Below are 17,629 nucleotides of genomic sequence, written 5' to 3' on the forward strand. Positions count from 1 at the left end.
TTTTGCTACAACTTATTTTAGAAAACTTGATTAAAGTTTACCTGAAAAGTAGATCTCTGACTGTTTCTGGAAGGGGGAGTTAGTTAGAATAGGCTTTCCAAATAAGAGTCAGGACCTAGTTATATCTTTTCTGTTTGACTGTACTAAATAAGATGTACATTAAGCTCGAGGTGTTTTCAGAATCAGAAGGGGGCAGAAGAGATAGATGGTAGATAGAGAGGGAAGTCCTGCTTAGTCAATATAGTAGAAACTGAAACCCCTTTAATAAACTGTAATTACTAGGAATGTATGAATTTTCCTTGGAACTAAAAGATGCTTTCAGATACTGCATTTCCATTATTTCATGGTCCATTTCTTAAGAGGTTTTTAAAAAATGTTTTATAGCTGGTTCCAGCAGTGCCATTGGAACTCAGGAGAGTACTGCTCATTTGTTGGTTTCAGATCCAAACCTAATTCATGTATTAGTGAAATTTCTTTCTGGCACCAGTCCACATGGAACAAATCAACACAGTCCACAGGTAATATGATGTTTAGCCTGGCATATGCCCAGACTATTCAATAAACAGTATTCGTAATGTAAAGCTATGTAACTTTTTTATTGCTAAAGTATTAAATAATAGCCTTTTATGTATCAATATAATAAAAAAGGTTTTGTTATTTGTAATAATAGCTATACTGACACTAAATAATAGCAGGTGGTAAGTTAACCTCTTAGAACAGTGATACTAGGTTTTCATATAGATACATATTTTTGGCATTAATTTTGGATAATTGGAAACATTCTGAGTAAATACTGCAAAGGTAGAGAAGCATTTCAAAAATTTTGGAATCAATAAATTTTAATATGTCATATTTGATTACTTCTACTATCAAGATTATCAATTCACCTTAATCATTTTATGATGTTAATGATTTTGCTTAGCAAAAGATAACAATATTGCTCAGGACTTATAAACATTTTCTGTTTCACTGTAAATTTTCCTTTATATCAATTTAATTTCTTGTTATGTTGTACTGCTTCTGTGTAAATATTTGTACTTCATTATATTTCTTTTAAAGTAAAAATATATTTAGCATTTATAACATCTTTTAAAATCAAGATTATTCAAGATTATCTTGCAAGTTTATCATTTTAAACTTCTTGGATTTGCCGTCAGATAAATTCTAATTTAGTTGTCCTCAACAGCCCAGTTTCTCTATTAATTCACTTATTCAGTGTTTAGGAGGCTTCTGTGTGCTTGTTCTAGGTACTAGACATACAGTATTTACCAAGATCAAATATCTGCCTTCATAGAGCTTTAGTTAATACTCTAATACTTAATATATTTTAATTTTACAGATCTTAATAAAATAAATGAGACAAGGAACAAGTAAGAGAGAAGAAACTAACTTACAGTTAGATTGGGACAGGGTTTTGGTAGGGGCAGAGACATGTTATCAAGTGATTATTGTACTTAAAGATTGATTGAATTTCAAACAGGAAGACTCCTCGGGATCACCAATTCTGACTTAATTGTTTTACATGTAAGAAAACATGCATCAGCTATATTGCCCCAAATTACATAACTAGTTATCTGTATAGCTAGGTATCAGTGAACAAGGCATTGCAAAAAATAATATTTTCTTTCTGTTTTTGAATAAAAGAAAGGAGGAAATAACTTTTTAAAACTTTTTAAGTTACTGAAGATCAAGCTTTCCTACTGATACCTTGGTTTTATATAGGAAGTTCTGATACGAAAGCTATAATTTGTATGCTCAGTATCAGAAATTAACTTTATTTAACTCTAAAATAGTTTGGAGGATTATATTGTATTTTATTTTTCCAGAACTACTCCAAGGTTTTATGAGTTGTTCATCAAATCAAATTAGGATCAAATAAAATAATATGTAGAAGTGTTAGAGCACACTTCTACCTCAGGTTACTTAATGTAGTGTTCACTATCATTTCTTTCATTGATGAATTAGAAGTTTGGGAAAGCAGTTTTTTTTTTTTTTGACTTGGTATAAATTTATTTTTATTTAGTTTTTGTTTTGTTTTTCACTTAGCTTAATGCTTGCTTTGCTAGTTGTTAGAAACATGACCTTTTATGGATCATTTTACCTCTCTGCTCCTGAGTTATTTGATTTTGAAATGGGGTAATTAAGAAGGTTATTTGTGAAAATCTATGTTGAAGTTATTTATACTCTAAAAAGCATTATAAAAGTATTTATTGTGTAATTCAGGTGAACTTTTTTTAGTATTGAGTTCAATAAACCTAATATAGTTGTGGTGTATAAACTATAATGAAAAAGTATTAACAGTATTTTTATTTGCAATTCAAAATAAATACATCAAGACCTAAAAAATTCATTTCCTGCTATCATTGTTAATACTTTTGTTTTCCTCGTACGAAAAGTTACAGTGTATAGCTTTTGACTTTCTACTTGATAATTTTTAAATGAATGATTTTTTACATGTTACCAGTAAGCAGTTTTCAGTGAATATACATTTCTCTTTAGGTTGGTCCTACAGCTACACAAGCTATGCAAGAATTTCTTACTCGATTACAAGTGCATCTTTCTTCAACATGTCCTCAGATATTCAGTGAATTTTTGCTCAAGCTAATTCATATACTTTCAACTGAAAGGTAAATTTTTGTGTACTAATTTGTTCCTGATATAGAAGTAACATGTAATTCTCCAAATATACTTTTCTTTAACATTTGTTGGGAATTTATCTGTGAACAAATAAGCAGGAGGACGGTAGTAATTAAGGGGGAAGGATATATTGGTGTGTTTCCTGATTGTTTCCATTTCATTTCATTATGGTTTTCTCAAGTCCTTATACCTCTACTCTCTTTAATATGAAAGGAATACAGTTGACTTGCTTTTAATGGTTTTATAGATTAGTTATTATAAGCTTTTTAAAAGGTGAAATTTATTTTGAAGCTGTTTAAACTCTAAAGCTACCAGTGATTTTGTATGTAAGAAAACCTGAAAAATAGAGCTTATAAAAGAAAATTGTATACTAATCTTGTGTAGAAATTCTAAATAAATTTATTAACAAAATCAGACTCCATGTTATAAGAATAAATTTTGACCATAATGGGTTGATTATTATAATGCATGAATGCTTCAATATCATATATCTCTTATTAATGTCTTTTTTTATTCTATATTTCTTAAAATCCAACATTACTTTCTGATGAAAACTTTTTTTTTTTTTTGACACAGAGTCTCGCTCTGTCGCCAGGCTGGAGTGCACTGGTGCAGTCTTGGCTCACTGCAACCTCCGCCTCCTGGGTTGAAGCGATTCTCATGCCTCAGCCTCCCCAGTAGCTGGGATTACAGGCACGCACCACCACACCCAGCTAATTTTTGTATTTTTAGTAGAGACGGGGTTTCACTATGTTGGCCAGGGTGGTCTCGATCTCCTGACCTCGTGATCCGCCCGCCTCAGCCTCCCAAAGTGCTGGGATTACAGGTGTGAGCCACTGTGCCTGGCCGAAAAGTTTTAATGAATTATAAAGTGTTATTTTGTTTTTGAAGTTACAATAAAACTGAGTATTTCAAAAAAATCCCCATTAATATAAGGAATAGGGCTGGGCTCAGTGGCTCACGCCTGTAATCCCGGCACCCTGGGAGGCTGAGGCGGGAAGATCGCTTAAGCCCAGGAGTTTGAGAGTAGCCTGGGTCACATGGCGGGACCCCTTCTCTAAAAAAAAAGAAAAAGAAAAAGAAATTAGCTAGGGTGTGGGTATACACCTGTAATCCCAGCTACTGTGGAGCCTGATGCAGGAGATTGATTGAACCAGTGAGCCCAGGAGGTGGAGGCTGCAGTGAGTCCTGATTGTGCCACTGCACTACAACCTGGGTGACAGAACAACACTCTTTCTCAAATAAATTAATGATCAGGAATAAGTCAGTAGTGACTATTGCCACTTTTTTATCTAATTTTATTCAAATAAACAGTATTTATACATACTTTGTGAGGATTTTGTGAAATTTTGAATGACATAATTAAAATCCCGTGAGGAATAAAGATTAGTCATCATTTGTTTTATTTTTCTTTTAACTAGGCTTTTTAATTTTAACTCTGCAGGCTTTAGCATAATCCGATCCACAGAGTTCACAACAGTGAAGATTTTCATACTAAACTTTTAATATATTTGCTCTAACATTTTCTAAAGGATTATTAATCTTGTTTGTAGTTTAGTCACATCTAATATTTAAGCAGAGATATTTTGAGGTTTATACGCCACAGAAACTGTTTAGGAATTTTCTCCACCTCACTTCACCACACATATACCCTGTACATTTTTGTGGCCTAGTTTATTTAAGAGGGTCCACAAAGCTGTGGCCCAAGAAGAATGTTAGTTTATGTTTGTTTTTAATAAAGGCTCTGGTATTCTGTGAAAGATCCAGCAGCTCTTTAGTTAGATTAATGATATAATAATATACACTGAAAGAAATACTCGGTATAAAGAAGGCATTCAGTTTTATCAGATGAGTGTTTTGCAAATACTATCTATTGGTCTTTGGACTCTGTTTTCACTTTATTAAGTAGCCTTCAAAAAGCAGAAGTTTTAAAATTCTAGATGTAATCTAAATTGTCAACTTTTATGTATTTTTTGTTGTTGTTACCCTCCTCACACAAAGTCTTAAATACCCTCCTCACACAAAGTCACACAGAATATTATGTTTTCTTCTAGAAATTTTACAATTTTATGTTTTATATTTAGGCTTGTTATTTTTTGCTTTCAGGATGAAGTTTTTTTTTTTTTTTTTTTTTGCCTGTGGATGTCCAACTGTTCCTATATCTTTGTTTCTTTTTTTGAGACGGAGTCTCTCTCTGTCACCCAGGCTGGAGTGCAGTGGTACGATCTCGGCTCACTGCAAGCGCCGCCTCCTGGGTTCACGCCATTCTCCCGCCTCAGCCTCCTGAGTAGCTGGGACTACAGGTGCCTGCCATCACGCCCTGCTAATTTTGTTTTTGTAGTTTTAGTAGAGACGGGGTTTCACCGTGTTAGCCAGGATGGTCTTGATCTCCTGACCTCGTGATCAGCCTGCCAAAGTGCTGGGATTACAGGCATGAGCCACCGCACCCCGCCTTCGTAGACCATTTTTTGAAAATACTTTCCTTTTTTCATTGGATTCCCTTTGTAGTTTTTCAAATATCAATCAATGATACTTGTTTTGATCTAATTCATACACTTTTTTTTTTTTGAGACAACTTTGCTCTGTCGCCCAGGATGGAGTGCTGTGGCGTGATTCAGACTCACTGCAACCTCCACCTCCTGGGTTCGTGCAATTCTCATGCTTCAGCCTCCTGAGTAGCTGGGATTACAGGCCCATCACCATGCCTGGCTAATTTTTGTATTTTCAGTAGAGATGGGGTTTTGCCATGTTGGCCAGGCTGGTCTCAAACTCCTGGCCTCAAGAGATCCACCTGCCTCCATTTCCCAAATTGCTGGGTTTACAAGCGTGAGCCACCACACCCAGCCTCATTTGTTCATACAGTGTATTATATAGAATTTATGTTTTTGTCTGTTTTTTATGCATTACCTCACTGTCTTAGTTCCCTTACAGTATTTTTTGAAATTTAGTAGTGTAGGCTCTCCACCTTTGTTCTTTATTTTTAGAGTTATTTTGGCTGTTTTAATTCCATTCCTTTTTCCTTATAAATTTTACAATCAGCTTATTGATTTTCCAGAAAAAAATCATTTTGAGTGAGATTGCATCATTCTGTAGATCAGTTTGGGCAGATGTATTGCTTGTTTGGCCATATTGTCAGAGAATACGGTTAGTTTAATTTCCTCCTTTCTTATGCATATGTCTCATGGGTTCCCCTCCCCCCATCCAGTTGTACTCGTTCGGACTTCAAGTATGCTGTTGAGTACATATGGTAAAAGTTACTCTTCCTTCTTTTTCTCAATCTTAAGATCTTATGAAACATTGTCTTTCATAATTAGATATGTTACTAGCTGGAGCTCTTTTTTAGATATGTGATAGTAAGTTGAGGAAGTTCCAGTTTGTTTCTAACTTGCTAAGACCTTAAAAAAATTATGAATGTCTCTGGATTTTGTTAGATGTTTCCCTGCATCTGTTGAAATGAACATAGATTGTTTCTTCTTTCATCTGTTCATACGTTGAATTATATTGGTGTTTTCTAAAGAGTTGAGATCTCACTATGTTGCCCAGGCTGGCTTTGAACTCCTGAGTTCAAGCAGGCTTTCAGTCTCATTCTGTTCTTAGCTGGCCCAATCGGCATATGCCACTACACCAAGTTTGATTTTTTTTGCTAAGTGTCAGTTAATGTGCATTCTCAAGGTAGACACCCTTGGTCATAACATATCAGTCCATTTTATAACTTGCTGAATTTATTCTCTGAATTTATTCTGAAAGAGGTTGTGTAATATGTGTATTGTCACTTACTTAAGTATTTGGTAGCATTTGCCATTGAAGCATCCTGTGGCTAGAGTTTTCTTTGCCCCAAAAATTTTCAACTTATTTTCTAGGTCTTGGACTATTCAGGTTTTCTCTTCTTGATTGAGCTTTGGTAATTTTGTGAAGGAAGTTGTTCCTTTACATTGTTGTATTTGTTAGTGGAAATATGTATATGTATTAATGTTTATAGGATCTATAAGTTTCCTTCATTTCTGATGTTGGTAATTTTTATCTTTTTTTGGGGTCATTCTGGCTAGAAGTTCATCAATATTATTTCAAAAAAAGGCAGCTTATAGATTATTTCTTCTTTTCTACTTTCTTTGAATTTAATTTGATCTTTATGGCTTAGATAATTGATTTTAGACCTTTCTTTTCTAATACAAGCATTTGACAAAGTCAGAATTGGTCTATATAGACTATATAGACTACATACATTTAATGTAATTATTGACATGCTGGATTAAAATTGATCATTTTGCTATTTTTCTATTTATTTCATCTATTTTTGATTCCTTTTAAGAAATCTTTTTCTGTTGACTTTTGAATTAAGCAACTTTTAAAATAATTTCATTTCCATCCTTATTTATAACTGAATTTCTTATTTATTTTTGAGACAGTGTTTGTTTGCTCTGTCGCACAGGTTGGAGCGTAGTGGTGCGATCTTGGCTCTCTGCAACCTCCGCCTTCTGGGTTCACGTGATTTTCGTGCCTTAACTTGCCGAATAGCTGGGATTACAGGCTTCTGCTATGCTACTACACACGGCTAATTTTTGTATATTTTGTAGGCGTAGTTTCACCAGGTTGGCCAGGGTAGTCTCGAACTCCTGAGCTCAAGCAATCCACCCGTGTCACTGGCATTACAGGCATGAGCCACTGTGCCCGGCCTATAACCGAAAATTTTTAATATTAGTTGTCCTAGTTTTACAAGATATACCTTTATTTAATCACATTCCACTTTAAAATATTATTCCGTTCATGTATAATGTCAGAACTTAACAGTGTAGTTTCAGTTCCTTTCTTCCGTCTTTTGTGACATAGTTGTCATGTTTTTACTGTTTATATATGCTATAAACACAATACTGTGCAACCTTTTTTTTATTTTTTATTTTTTTGCTTTAGACAGTCTTTGTTTGTTTTTTGAAATAGACTTTCGCTCTGTCACCCAGGCTAGAGTGCAGTTGTGTGATCTCAACTCACTGCAACCTCCTCCTCCTGGGTTCATGCAATTCTCATGCTTCAGCCTCCTGAGTAGCTGGGATTACAGGCCCATCACCATGCCTGGCTAATTTTTGTATTTTCAGTAGAGATGGGGTTTCGCCATGTTGGCCAGGTTGGTCTCAAACTCAAAAGTATTCTTTTGCCTTAGTCTCCTGAGTAGCTGGAATTAACAGTCACATGCCATCATGCCTGGCTAATTTTTGTATTTTTAGTAACAATGAGGTTTCACCATGTTGGCCAGGCCGGTCTTGAACTTCCTGGCGCCACAAGTGATCTGCCCACCTGGGGCTCCCAAAGTGATGGGATTACAGGCATGAGCCACTGCACCTGGCCTAATTTGCCTTTTTCTTGCTGTTAGACTGACTTGCTGTTAGACTTTTCAGCATTCTATATCTTAGGCATAAACAGAATTTGAAGAGCATTCAATTTTGATACTTGAGAATGATTTGATTGAATCTTAATTTTTATGTATCATTATCAGTAGGAAATGTTTACAATAGCGTTATTTGAGAATGGAAAAAATTAGAACTCATTTCATTATAAGAAGTGCCTTGTGATTTTGAAGTATTTTTGTCTGTAGCTTCAAAATCACTTCCGGATATACTTGTCCCTTAGTTTTGTATTTGGAAGGGAGGTTGTTTTTGAGTTTGTCTAAAATGGAGGCAAGAACAAGAATTCCAAAAGAGATGAAAACTATTAGCTACCTAATGAAATAGTGAATATCAAGAATTTGTTTAACTTTCTTGTATTGTGATAAGTTACTACTTTCAGAACTACTTAAAATCGTTTAATTTTTAATCCTTTCTCTTGTTGTATCTCTCTCTCTCTCTCTTTTTCTGTCTCTCTCTCTCTCTCTCTGCAGGGGTGCTTTCCAGACAGGCCAAGGACCTCTCGATGCCCAAGTGAAGCTCTTAGAATTCACTCTGGAGCAGAATTTTGAAGTCGTTTCAGTTAGTACTATTTCTGCCGTGATAGAATCGGTTACATTTTTAGTGCACCACTATATCACTTGCTCAGACAAAGTAATGTCAAGAAGTGGATCAGATAGCTCCGTGGGTGCTCGAGCATGCTTTGGGGGACTCTTTGCCAATCTTATTCGTCCGGGTGATGCAAAAGCAGTTTGTGGCGAAATGACAAGAGATCAACTCATGTTTGATTTGTTAAAACTTGTTAACATTTTAGTGCAGCTGCCTCTTTCAGGCAATAGGGAATACAGTGCAAGAGTGTCTGTGACCACAAATACAACAGATAGTGTTTCAGATGAAGAAAAAGTCTCAGGAGGCAAAGATGGCAATGGAAGCAGTACCAGTGTTCAAGGATCGCCTGCATATGTTGCTGACTTAGTCTTAGCCAACCAACAAATTATGAGCCAGATTTTGTCTGCTCTGGGCCTGTGTAATAGCAGTGCCATGGCAATGATAATTGGTATGTATTGAGAATATTAATCTTACCATTGTCTCTGATACTATAACTGGTTTTTTTTTAAGCAATATATGGATTCATTTTCTTTTTACTTTATAGTGTAAAACTGCTTTAAGCTTTTCATGACTGATTTTTATTGGTGAGGACTTCTGTTTAGGGGCTTCAATTAATGAATGAAAGTGAAATATTGACAAATGTCATGTCAGTTTGGTTTGTTTTCTTTTTATTGAGATGCCTCCCAGGTTCAAGCAATTCTCGTGCCTCAGCCACCCAAGTAGCTGGGACCATAGGTGCCTGCCACCACACCCAGCTAATTTTTTTTTTTTTTTTACCCCGAGCCAGAGTCTTGCTCCCACGCTGGAGTACAATGGCGCGATCTCGGCTCACTGTAACCCCCGCCTCCCAGATTCGAGTGATACTCCTGCCTCAGCCTACCGAGTAGCTGGGATTACAGGCGTGTGTGCCACCATGCCCCTGCTAGTTTTTTGTTTTTGTTTTTGTTTTTTTTTTTTTTTTTGAGATGAAGTCTTGCTCTGTTGCCCAGGCTGAAGTGCAATGGTGTGATCTCGGTTCATTGCAACCTCCGCCTCCTAGGTTCAAGCAATTCTCATGCCTCAGCCTCCCAAGTAGCTGGGATTACAGGCATGTGCCACCAGGCCTGGCTGATTTTTTGTATTTAGTAGAGATGGGGTTATGCCATGTTGGGCAAGCTGGTCTTGAACTCCTGACCTCAGGTGATCTGCCCACCTCAGCCTCCGAAAGTGCTAGGATTACAGGTGTGAGCCACTGCGCCCTGCCAATTTTTTTTTTTGTACAGACGGGATTTCACCATGTTAGCCAGGCTGGTCTTGAACTCTTATTTCACATCATTTTGTGTTGAAGACAAGTATTATTTGTTCACATTTGCTTTAAAAATAAAATGTAAAATTTTACTCATACTGTAACATTTTCTATGACACAAACCAGTGTTAAATTTATATGCTGTTGCTTAACTCTTTTACCTCTTGGAATGTTAATACATTACATTAAATTTTTAAAATAAATGAACATTTGTATACTGTGGCAAAATCCTTTTCTAATATATTTTTGCCTGTTGGTATTTTTTTCTTTGTCAGTGTGTGAGAAACAGCCACATCTTCTGTTTGATTAGATTAAAAAGAATAGTTACATGCTGGTATCACATATTTTTCTATTCATGTCCTCTCTTCTTGATGTATGTAGAGTGATGTTCTCAGTCATATAACAGAACAACTTATTTTTATTGTTGGTGATATAGAGGTATTGTCATGTAAGAAGATAGCCATAAACCGTGCTCTACTGAATATTGTCATTGATATTTTAATCTCTAAGAGTCCATTCGGGTTATGTGTAGAGGGTTTAGACAGCTATTATATATTCATTCTTCAGCAGTTTTGGAAAAAGTGACTTTTCAGCTTCTATATTTTAATTATTATTTGTTTCACCATGTTGGCCAGGCTGGTTTTGAACTCCTGAAGTCAGGTGATCCACCTGCCTCGGCCTCCCAAAGTGTTGAGATTACAGGCATGAGCCACTGCGCCTGGCTGGATATATATACTTTTAATGTGGTATCTTTTATTTTTCTTAGGAGCAAGTGGATTACATCTCACTAAACATGAAAACTTTCATGGTGGGTTGGATGCCATATCAGTTGGGGATGGATTATTTACCATACTGACAACCCTTAGTAAAAAAGCTTCTACAGTCCACATGATGCTGCAGCCAATTTTAACATACATGGCCTGTGGATATATGGGCAGACAAGTAAGTTCAAGCCAACAACAGTTGCAGTGATTCAAATAAATTTATTGCGATGTAAGTGGAAAATTACAGGACAAAGATAAATAAGTATATTTATTATATATCGGACAATGAAAAGCATCAGTACAAGAGGGCTGTGGATTATTAATAAAAGTTGGAGAATAAAGTTTCTTTGAAGTGGTATTTTCAGAGATGACCACAGTGATATAAGAGTAAAACATTTAATGTGTTCCTGAGTTTTAGATTTTTTAATATAGTCTCAAGAAGTTCTTCTCTTTTTCCTAAAAGTAGCATAGTGTAATACTGAGGTGTTCTCCATAGATGTTATGTAAGAAGAAGTAATGTGAAATCTTTTGAAATTTATGTTGTGTATTCAGCTTCTTTTTTTTCCATTAAAAGAGATTAGGCTAATTAAAGAAAATAGGTTACAAAATTTTTCCTTTTTGTATTTCATTTTTACAAATGAAATTGTAGGAACCAGATTATTTTACTTTCTTGTCCATTTCCCATTTTGAAATGCAGATATTAGAACAGTTTCTTATGTCTTTTATATAGCAGTGTATAATTATCATTTTTGTAAACATTTGTTGAATGTGTATATTTCTCTATTAGAAAATACAAAGGTACTTTAAATGGTTCAAATTTTAAATGAAATTGGTGTCTAAATGCATATTAAGAGAAAAGATAATAATGGATGAAGACACATGCTTTAAAAAATTCTCTGAGTTCAGGGAGATGGTTTTTTTATTCAGGTAAGATTTCTTATGTATTTTGGCAGACATTTTGTATTTAGCGTATTTAAGGCTGTCAGTTTACAAAAATTAACTAGGAAGGAATATTACATGCATTGAGTTTAGTTCTTATTCACAGGAATATATAAAGTCATAATATGCATATTTCATTTTTTAGGGCTCTCTTGCTACTTGCCAGTTATCTGAGCCATTATTGTGGTTCATTTTGAGAGTATTGGATACTAGTGATGCCTTGAAAGCATTTCATGATATGGGTAAGATAATATTTCAATAACTATCATTTAAGTGTAGTTATGTGATAGTATGTTACATTTTCATTTTTGTAGTCTTTTGTGGAAGTTTACTTTTGATGTTGAACCATCTGTCCTGAGATCGATTTCATTTCATATTCTTTATAAATTTAGGTGGTGTTCAGCTCATATGCAATAATATGGTTACTAGTACAAGGGCTATTGTGAACACTGCAAGAAGTATGGTATCAACTATTATGAAATTTCTTGACTCTGGTCCAAATAAAGCTGTTGACAGCACATTGAAAACAAGAATACTAGCTTCTGAGCCTGACAATGCTGAAGGGATTCATAACTTTGCACCCCTCGGTAAGAAAAGTGTTACTAAATCTTACTTATGTGAAATTATCTAGTTTATTAGCTGGTATGAAACAAAATTAGTTGAAGTCAGTTGATGATGTTATATATCACTATTTTAATTACAAACAGTTTATTTTAGAGGTAGTGGATATCTCGACATTCTACTTATGAGAGGGAATGCTTTGTTTGTTTGTTTGTTTGTTTGTTTGTTTTGAGACGGAGTTTTGCTCTTATTGCCCAAGCAGGAGTGCAATGGCGTGATCTCAGCTCACTGCAACCTCTGCCTCCTGGGTTCAAGCGATTCCTGCCTCAGCCTCCCGAGTAGCTGGGATTACAGGCACCTGCCACCACGCCTGGCTAATTTTTGTATTTTTAGTGGAGACAGGGTTTCACCATGTTGGCCAGGCTGGTCTTGAATGCCTGACCTCCAGTGATCCACCTGCCTCGGCCTCCCAAAGTGCTGGGATTACAGGCATGAGCCACCATGCCTGGCCGAGAGGGAATGTTTTAACAGTTCTTTAGCAGTAAAGTTTGTTTTTATTTGTGAGTCTAAATAGAAGCACAATTTAAGAAACTAAACAGAGATTCTTCCGTAAGTTTTCTCTTTAAATGTTAATCAATTTTAAATCTCATTTTCCTTCTTAAAGTGGTGCTGTGTTTTGTTTTGAGAGAGTCTCACTCTCACCTAGGCTGGAGTGCAGTGGCACAGTGTCTCCCGGGTTCAGGCAATTCTCATGCCTCAGCCTCCTGAGTAGCTGGGATTGCAGGCGTGTTTCACCACACTGGGGCGGGGGGTGGGGGGGTGTTTGTGTGTGTGTGTGTGTGTGTGTGTGTGTGTGTGTGTGTGTGTTTAGTAGAGATGGGGTTTCACCATGTTGTCCAGGCTGGTCTTGAACTCCTGGCCCCAAGTGATCCCCCACCTTGGCCTCCCAAAGTGTTAGGATTACAGGCATGAGCCACTGTGCCTGGCCTTAAAGTAGTACTATCTTTTTTAAAAGTTTTGAATTTAGGTATTTACTTTTTTATCTAGTTTACATAGTTTCTTTTAAATTTTTCTTTTCATATTTCTAAATCATAGACATTGACATCTTAGAATAAAGATGATTTTTTTAAAGGTGAAGGATATATTGGACATTGTTTTTTACTTAAAGAGTTTGAGGCTGGGCGCGGTGGCTCATGCCTGTAATCCCAGCACTTTGGGTGGCCGAGGCGGGTGGATCATGAGGTCAGGAGATCGAGACTGTCCCGGCTAACACGGTGAAACCCCGTCTCTACTAAAAATACAAAAAATTAGCTGGGCGTGGTTGCAGGCGCCTGTAGTCCCAGCTACTCGGGAGGCTGAGGCAGGAGAATGGCCTGAATCTGGGAGGCGGAGCTTGCAGTGAGCTGAGATCTCACCACTGCACTCCAGCCTGGGCGACAGAGCGAGACTCCATCTGAAAAATAAATAAATAAATAAATAAATAATAAAAAAAATTTAAAAAAAGTTTGAAAATTATTGAGCTACGTTTATTGCTGTGTCTTTAGTTTTCGTGTATCATATGAGTACAAAGTAGACAGCAGTTAATAATGAACTTGTCACCTTGCCAGTTGACAGGATTTCCTCATGTTTTGTGAATACCTTTACGGTCATGCTTAGGATACTAAGTGCATTACCAGCATCAATTGTTCATGTTTTCAATTAATTTTTCTAGTTTAATTGTATTTGTATAGATTTTAAAGCTTTATTATGTTTCTTTTGCAAGTTCTTATAATTTATGTAAAATATCTTCTCTAGGTACAATCACATCTAGCAGTCCTACTGCCCAACCAGCTGAAGTGCTATTGCAGGCCACACCTCCTCACAGAAGAGCTCGCTCTGCTGCTTGGTCCTACATCTTTCTTCCAGAGGAGGCTTGGTGTGACCTTACCATTCACCTTCCTGCAGCAGTGCTGCTTAAGGAGATACATATCCAGCCTCATCTTGCATCTCTTGCAAGTGAGTAATATTTTATAAAGAAGCATCATGAGAACAAGCTTTAATTTAGAAATATTTGAAAATAAAAATGTTTAGTAAGCGGAAATACACTTAGGTGTGATTACCAGAGAGTGTAACTTCTGAACAGTTTTTATTGAAATAATTAATACTACCAAGTCATTTTAGGAGAAATGACTGTTAACCTCAGACAAAAAGATTATGTAATGAAGTCTAAACAAATATGTTCCAGTTATATATTATTTCGCTTTCTCTTTTCTCTCAAATTTACTAAGCTTCAGTATTAAGCTGAAATGAGTTCACTACACACCCATTTTTTACCATGTTAGTTTTTTCAGCCCAGACCTCAGTCCTAGCCTTGTAATGTGAAATTAGCATAGATTTGTGTGCCTGCCCTCCAACTTCTTTACAAGATAACTACCTTTTTGAATAATATTATATTTTGACTACTTCAGTGTGATTTTAAGATTCATACTGTGTTTATTGTAATATGTCAGTATCCTTGTAATATTGTATCATTCGTTTGTTGCATGTTCATTGAATACATTTTATTGAACTTTGTAAGGCAAATAATTCAAAATAATTTTTACAAAATACTATCACTTAAGAGCGTGAACTCTTTCAAGTATTTATAAAGAATATGAAATACTCATTTGCTTTTTTTTTTGAGGCAGGGTCTCACTCTGTTGCCCAGGCTGGAGTGCAGTTTTGATATATCACTGTAGCCTTGACCCCTGAGGCTCAAATGATCCTCTCATCTCAGCCTCATGTATAGCTGGGACCACAGGCATGTACCACCATGCCTGGCTAAATTTTTGTATTTTTTTGTAGAGACGGGGTTTTGTTATGATGCCTAGGCTACTTTCAAACTCCTGGGCTCATGGGATCTACCTGCCTTGGCCTCCTAAAGTGCTGAGATTACAGGTGTGACTACTGCACCCAGCCCATTTTGTGTTTTATATGGTTCACAAATGCTTTCAATATAGTTATAATTTTGCCAGAATTGTTTAAATTAATACACATGCTTACATTTATTGATTGATTCTCATTGCTATCAAATATCACTCAATAATTGCATGAGGAGCTGTGGGAAATGTTGTAGATTCCTGGCATCTTTGGAGAAAACAATTTTTTTCTATGTGTTTGCAAGATTAGACTGATATAGCTTAATTACTTGTGGCATCCACACTCCTTAGATAAAAAACAGATAATATAAAGGTAGAAGGAAAATATGCTAGTACACGGTGTTTTAGGAGGTCAAAAATAACTATATTAAAAGGCAAATATAAGTCAATGTAAGACTTAGGCTACCTCTAAAATTGGAAAGAGATTGCTTTTATTTGGAAAGCAAAGGAGTTTGGTCATAAGTGGTGGCTTTTGAAGTTCAGCTGGATTTTTCATATGGGAATTGAAACAGGAAGCATATTATGAAGGGGGAACCCCTGTGAAAAATTAATTGGTTTAGGTGTTCCCTACTTAAGTGTACTTGATTACAAAATTTGGTTTTATTATTGGATTAGAGCAGAAGTTGAAAATATGTTGTGATACAGTGGAAATAACAGTCTTTAGAATCAAACATGGACTTGAATCTAAGGTGTGACATTTCTTGTGGGAGCGTGGATTACTTAATCTCTTTTTGCTATGTCTGCTTGTGTAAAATGTAGATAATACTTTCCTCAAAAGGTTTTGAAGTAGAAATTTAAAAATTAACTTGACTGTCTAGTAATCAGTGTAAAGCTGGCATGTAATTCCTTCTTTTTTTACCACTGAAATTAAAAATAAAACCAAATTTCAAAAGTTTTAGTTGACATATTTATTAGATGGGGTTCCATGTTAAGCTAGAAATAAATAATTTTCTGGTAGTTCATTGGGGACTCCTTAAATTTCAGCAAGAATTGATTTTTTAAAAAAAATCCTGTGGATATTTGGTTTAATTTGAAAAGGAGGCTGGGCGCAGTGGGTCACACCTGTAATCCCAGCACTTTGGGAGGCTGCGGCAGGTGAATCACTTGAGGACAGGAGTTCAAGACCAGCCTGGCTAACATGGCAAAACCCTGTCTCTACCAAAAGTACAAAAATTACCTAGATGTAGTGGCACCTACCTGTAGTTCCAACTACTCTGGAGGCTACGGCAGGAGAATCACTTGAACCTGGGAGTTGGAGGTTGCAGTGAGCTAAGATCGTGCCACTGCACTCACTCCAGCCTGGGCAACAGAGCAAGACTCTATCTCAGGAAAACAAAACAAAACAAACAAAAAAAAATTTCTAAACTCAGCTGTGAGGTTAAACTCAATGTTTAAAAAAATCACAATCTAGTAGTAATAGAATAATTGGTAGATAAACAAGTTTTATTACATTTTTCCCCAAATTATTTAAAATAGTAAACCATAGCATATTAATCAAAGGTAGTTTTGTATTATTTGTGATAATTTTGAGTAAAATAGAAATGATGACATAATTACCTATTTGGCTGGTTTTATTCATAGGGAGCATCAGGTACATGTGCATCACACATCTTTGGTTCCTCTTTTTTTAGGTGAATATTAGACTGTTTAAGTATAATTTTTATTGTAGATCAAATATTTTGTGTTGAAAAATAGCTCCAACATTAATTATGGTGAAAGTCATTGTCAAACTATATTTTGTTGTATAAGTTTTCCTTTTACAAGTTCATGATGAATACAACTGTGAAAGCTGCTATTTTACTGGGATTTTAATAAACTGTTCAATCTAGTATACTTTGTCTTTTGTGATGATTCAGTTTTCTCTTTTTATAGCCTGCCCTTCCTCAGTGTCTGTTGAAGTAAGTGCAGATGGGGTAAATATGCTACCTTTGTCCACTCCTGTTGTCACAAGTGGCCTCACCTACATAAAAATTCAGCTTGTAAAAGCCGAAGTAGCTTCTGCTGTCTGCCTTAGACTACATCGTCCACGGGATGCCAGCACATTAGGCCTTTCACAAATTAAATTATTGGGGCTCACTGCTTTTGGTACCACCTCTTCTGCAACAGTTAATAATCCATTCCTTCCATCTGAAGATCAGGTATCCAAAACAAGGTATGTTTTGTTTGTCCTTTTTTTTTTTTTTTTTTTTTTTTTTTGGCATGGTTGGGAGATAGGGGACTTAATTATTTTGTGGGTTTTTTCTTTTTTAGGTCTTAGGAAGGTCTTTGTTCCATAGGTATCTGTATAATACAATTTTATTAGGTGTAATAGAGACAGTTTTGTGGAAACAGAATGCTGACACTGATTAAAATTAAGGTGTATATATGTTTAGTCTTTGAGATGATCTGTATGCTACATGTAGGTGTACATTGTAATTTTCTGGCTTGTAATTTTTTGTATCATACTCTGTTTCGGGAATTTGCAAATGCCTATGACCAGCCTATGACATCTGAACCATACCAACTGACCTTAGAAACAGCGACCTAGTCTTATATGGTAATTCCTAAATGTTAGTTAACAGA

At 35.8% G+C, this 17,629-nt stretch overlaps 1 protein-coding gene across 50 annotated transcripts in view; it reads left to right on the plus strand.

The window, feature by feature from the left end:
* Window positions 1-17,629, plus strand: part of BIRC6 (baculoviral IAP repeat containing 6) — a 261,856-nt gene that overhangs the window by 134,018 nt on the left and 110,209 nt on the right. For all 50 annotated transcript variants that reach the window (XM_006712055.4, XM_005264451.5, XM_047445167.1 and 47 more), the window contains 8 exons: window positions 385-518; window positions 2,500-2,627; window positions 8,507-9,069; window positions 10,673-10,848; window positions 11,755-11,851; window positions 12,002-12,196; window positions 13,965-14,165; window positions 16,940-17,219. In XM_006712055.4, the coding sequence (XP_006712118.1) occupies window positions 385-518; window positions 2,500-2,627; window positions 8,507-9,069; window positions 10,673-10,848; window positions 11,755-11,851; window positions 12,002-12,196; window positions 13,965-14,165; window positions 16,940-17,219 (1,774 nt within the window). The remainder of the gene's footprint in view (window positions 1-384; window positions 519-2,499; window positions 2,628-8,506; window positions 9,070-10,672; window positions 10,849-11,754; window positions 11,852-12,001; window positions 12,197-13,964; window positions 14,166-16,939; window positions 17,220-17,629) is intronic.

Source organism: Homo sapiens, chromosome 2 (assembly GCF_000001405.40).
Source record: "Homo sapiens chromosome 2, GRCh38.p14 Primary Assembly".
In the NCBI taxonomy this organism is placed as follows: domain Eukaryota; kingdom Metazoa; phylum Chordata; class Mammalia; order Primates; family Hominidae; genus Homo; species Homo sapiens.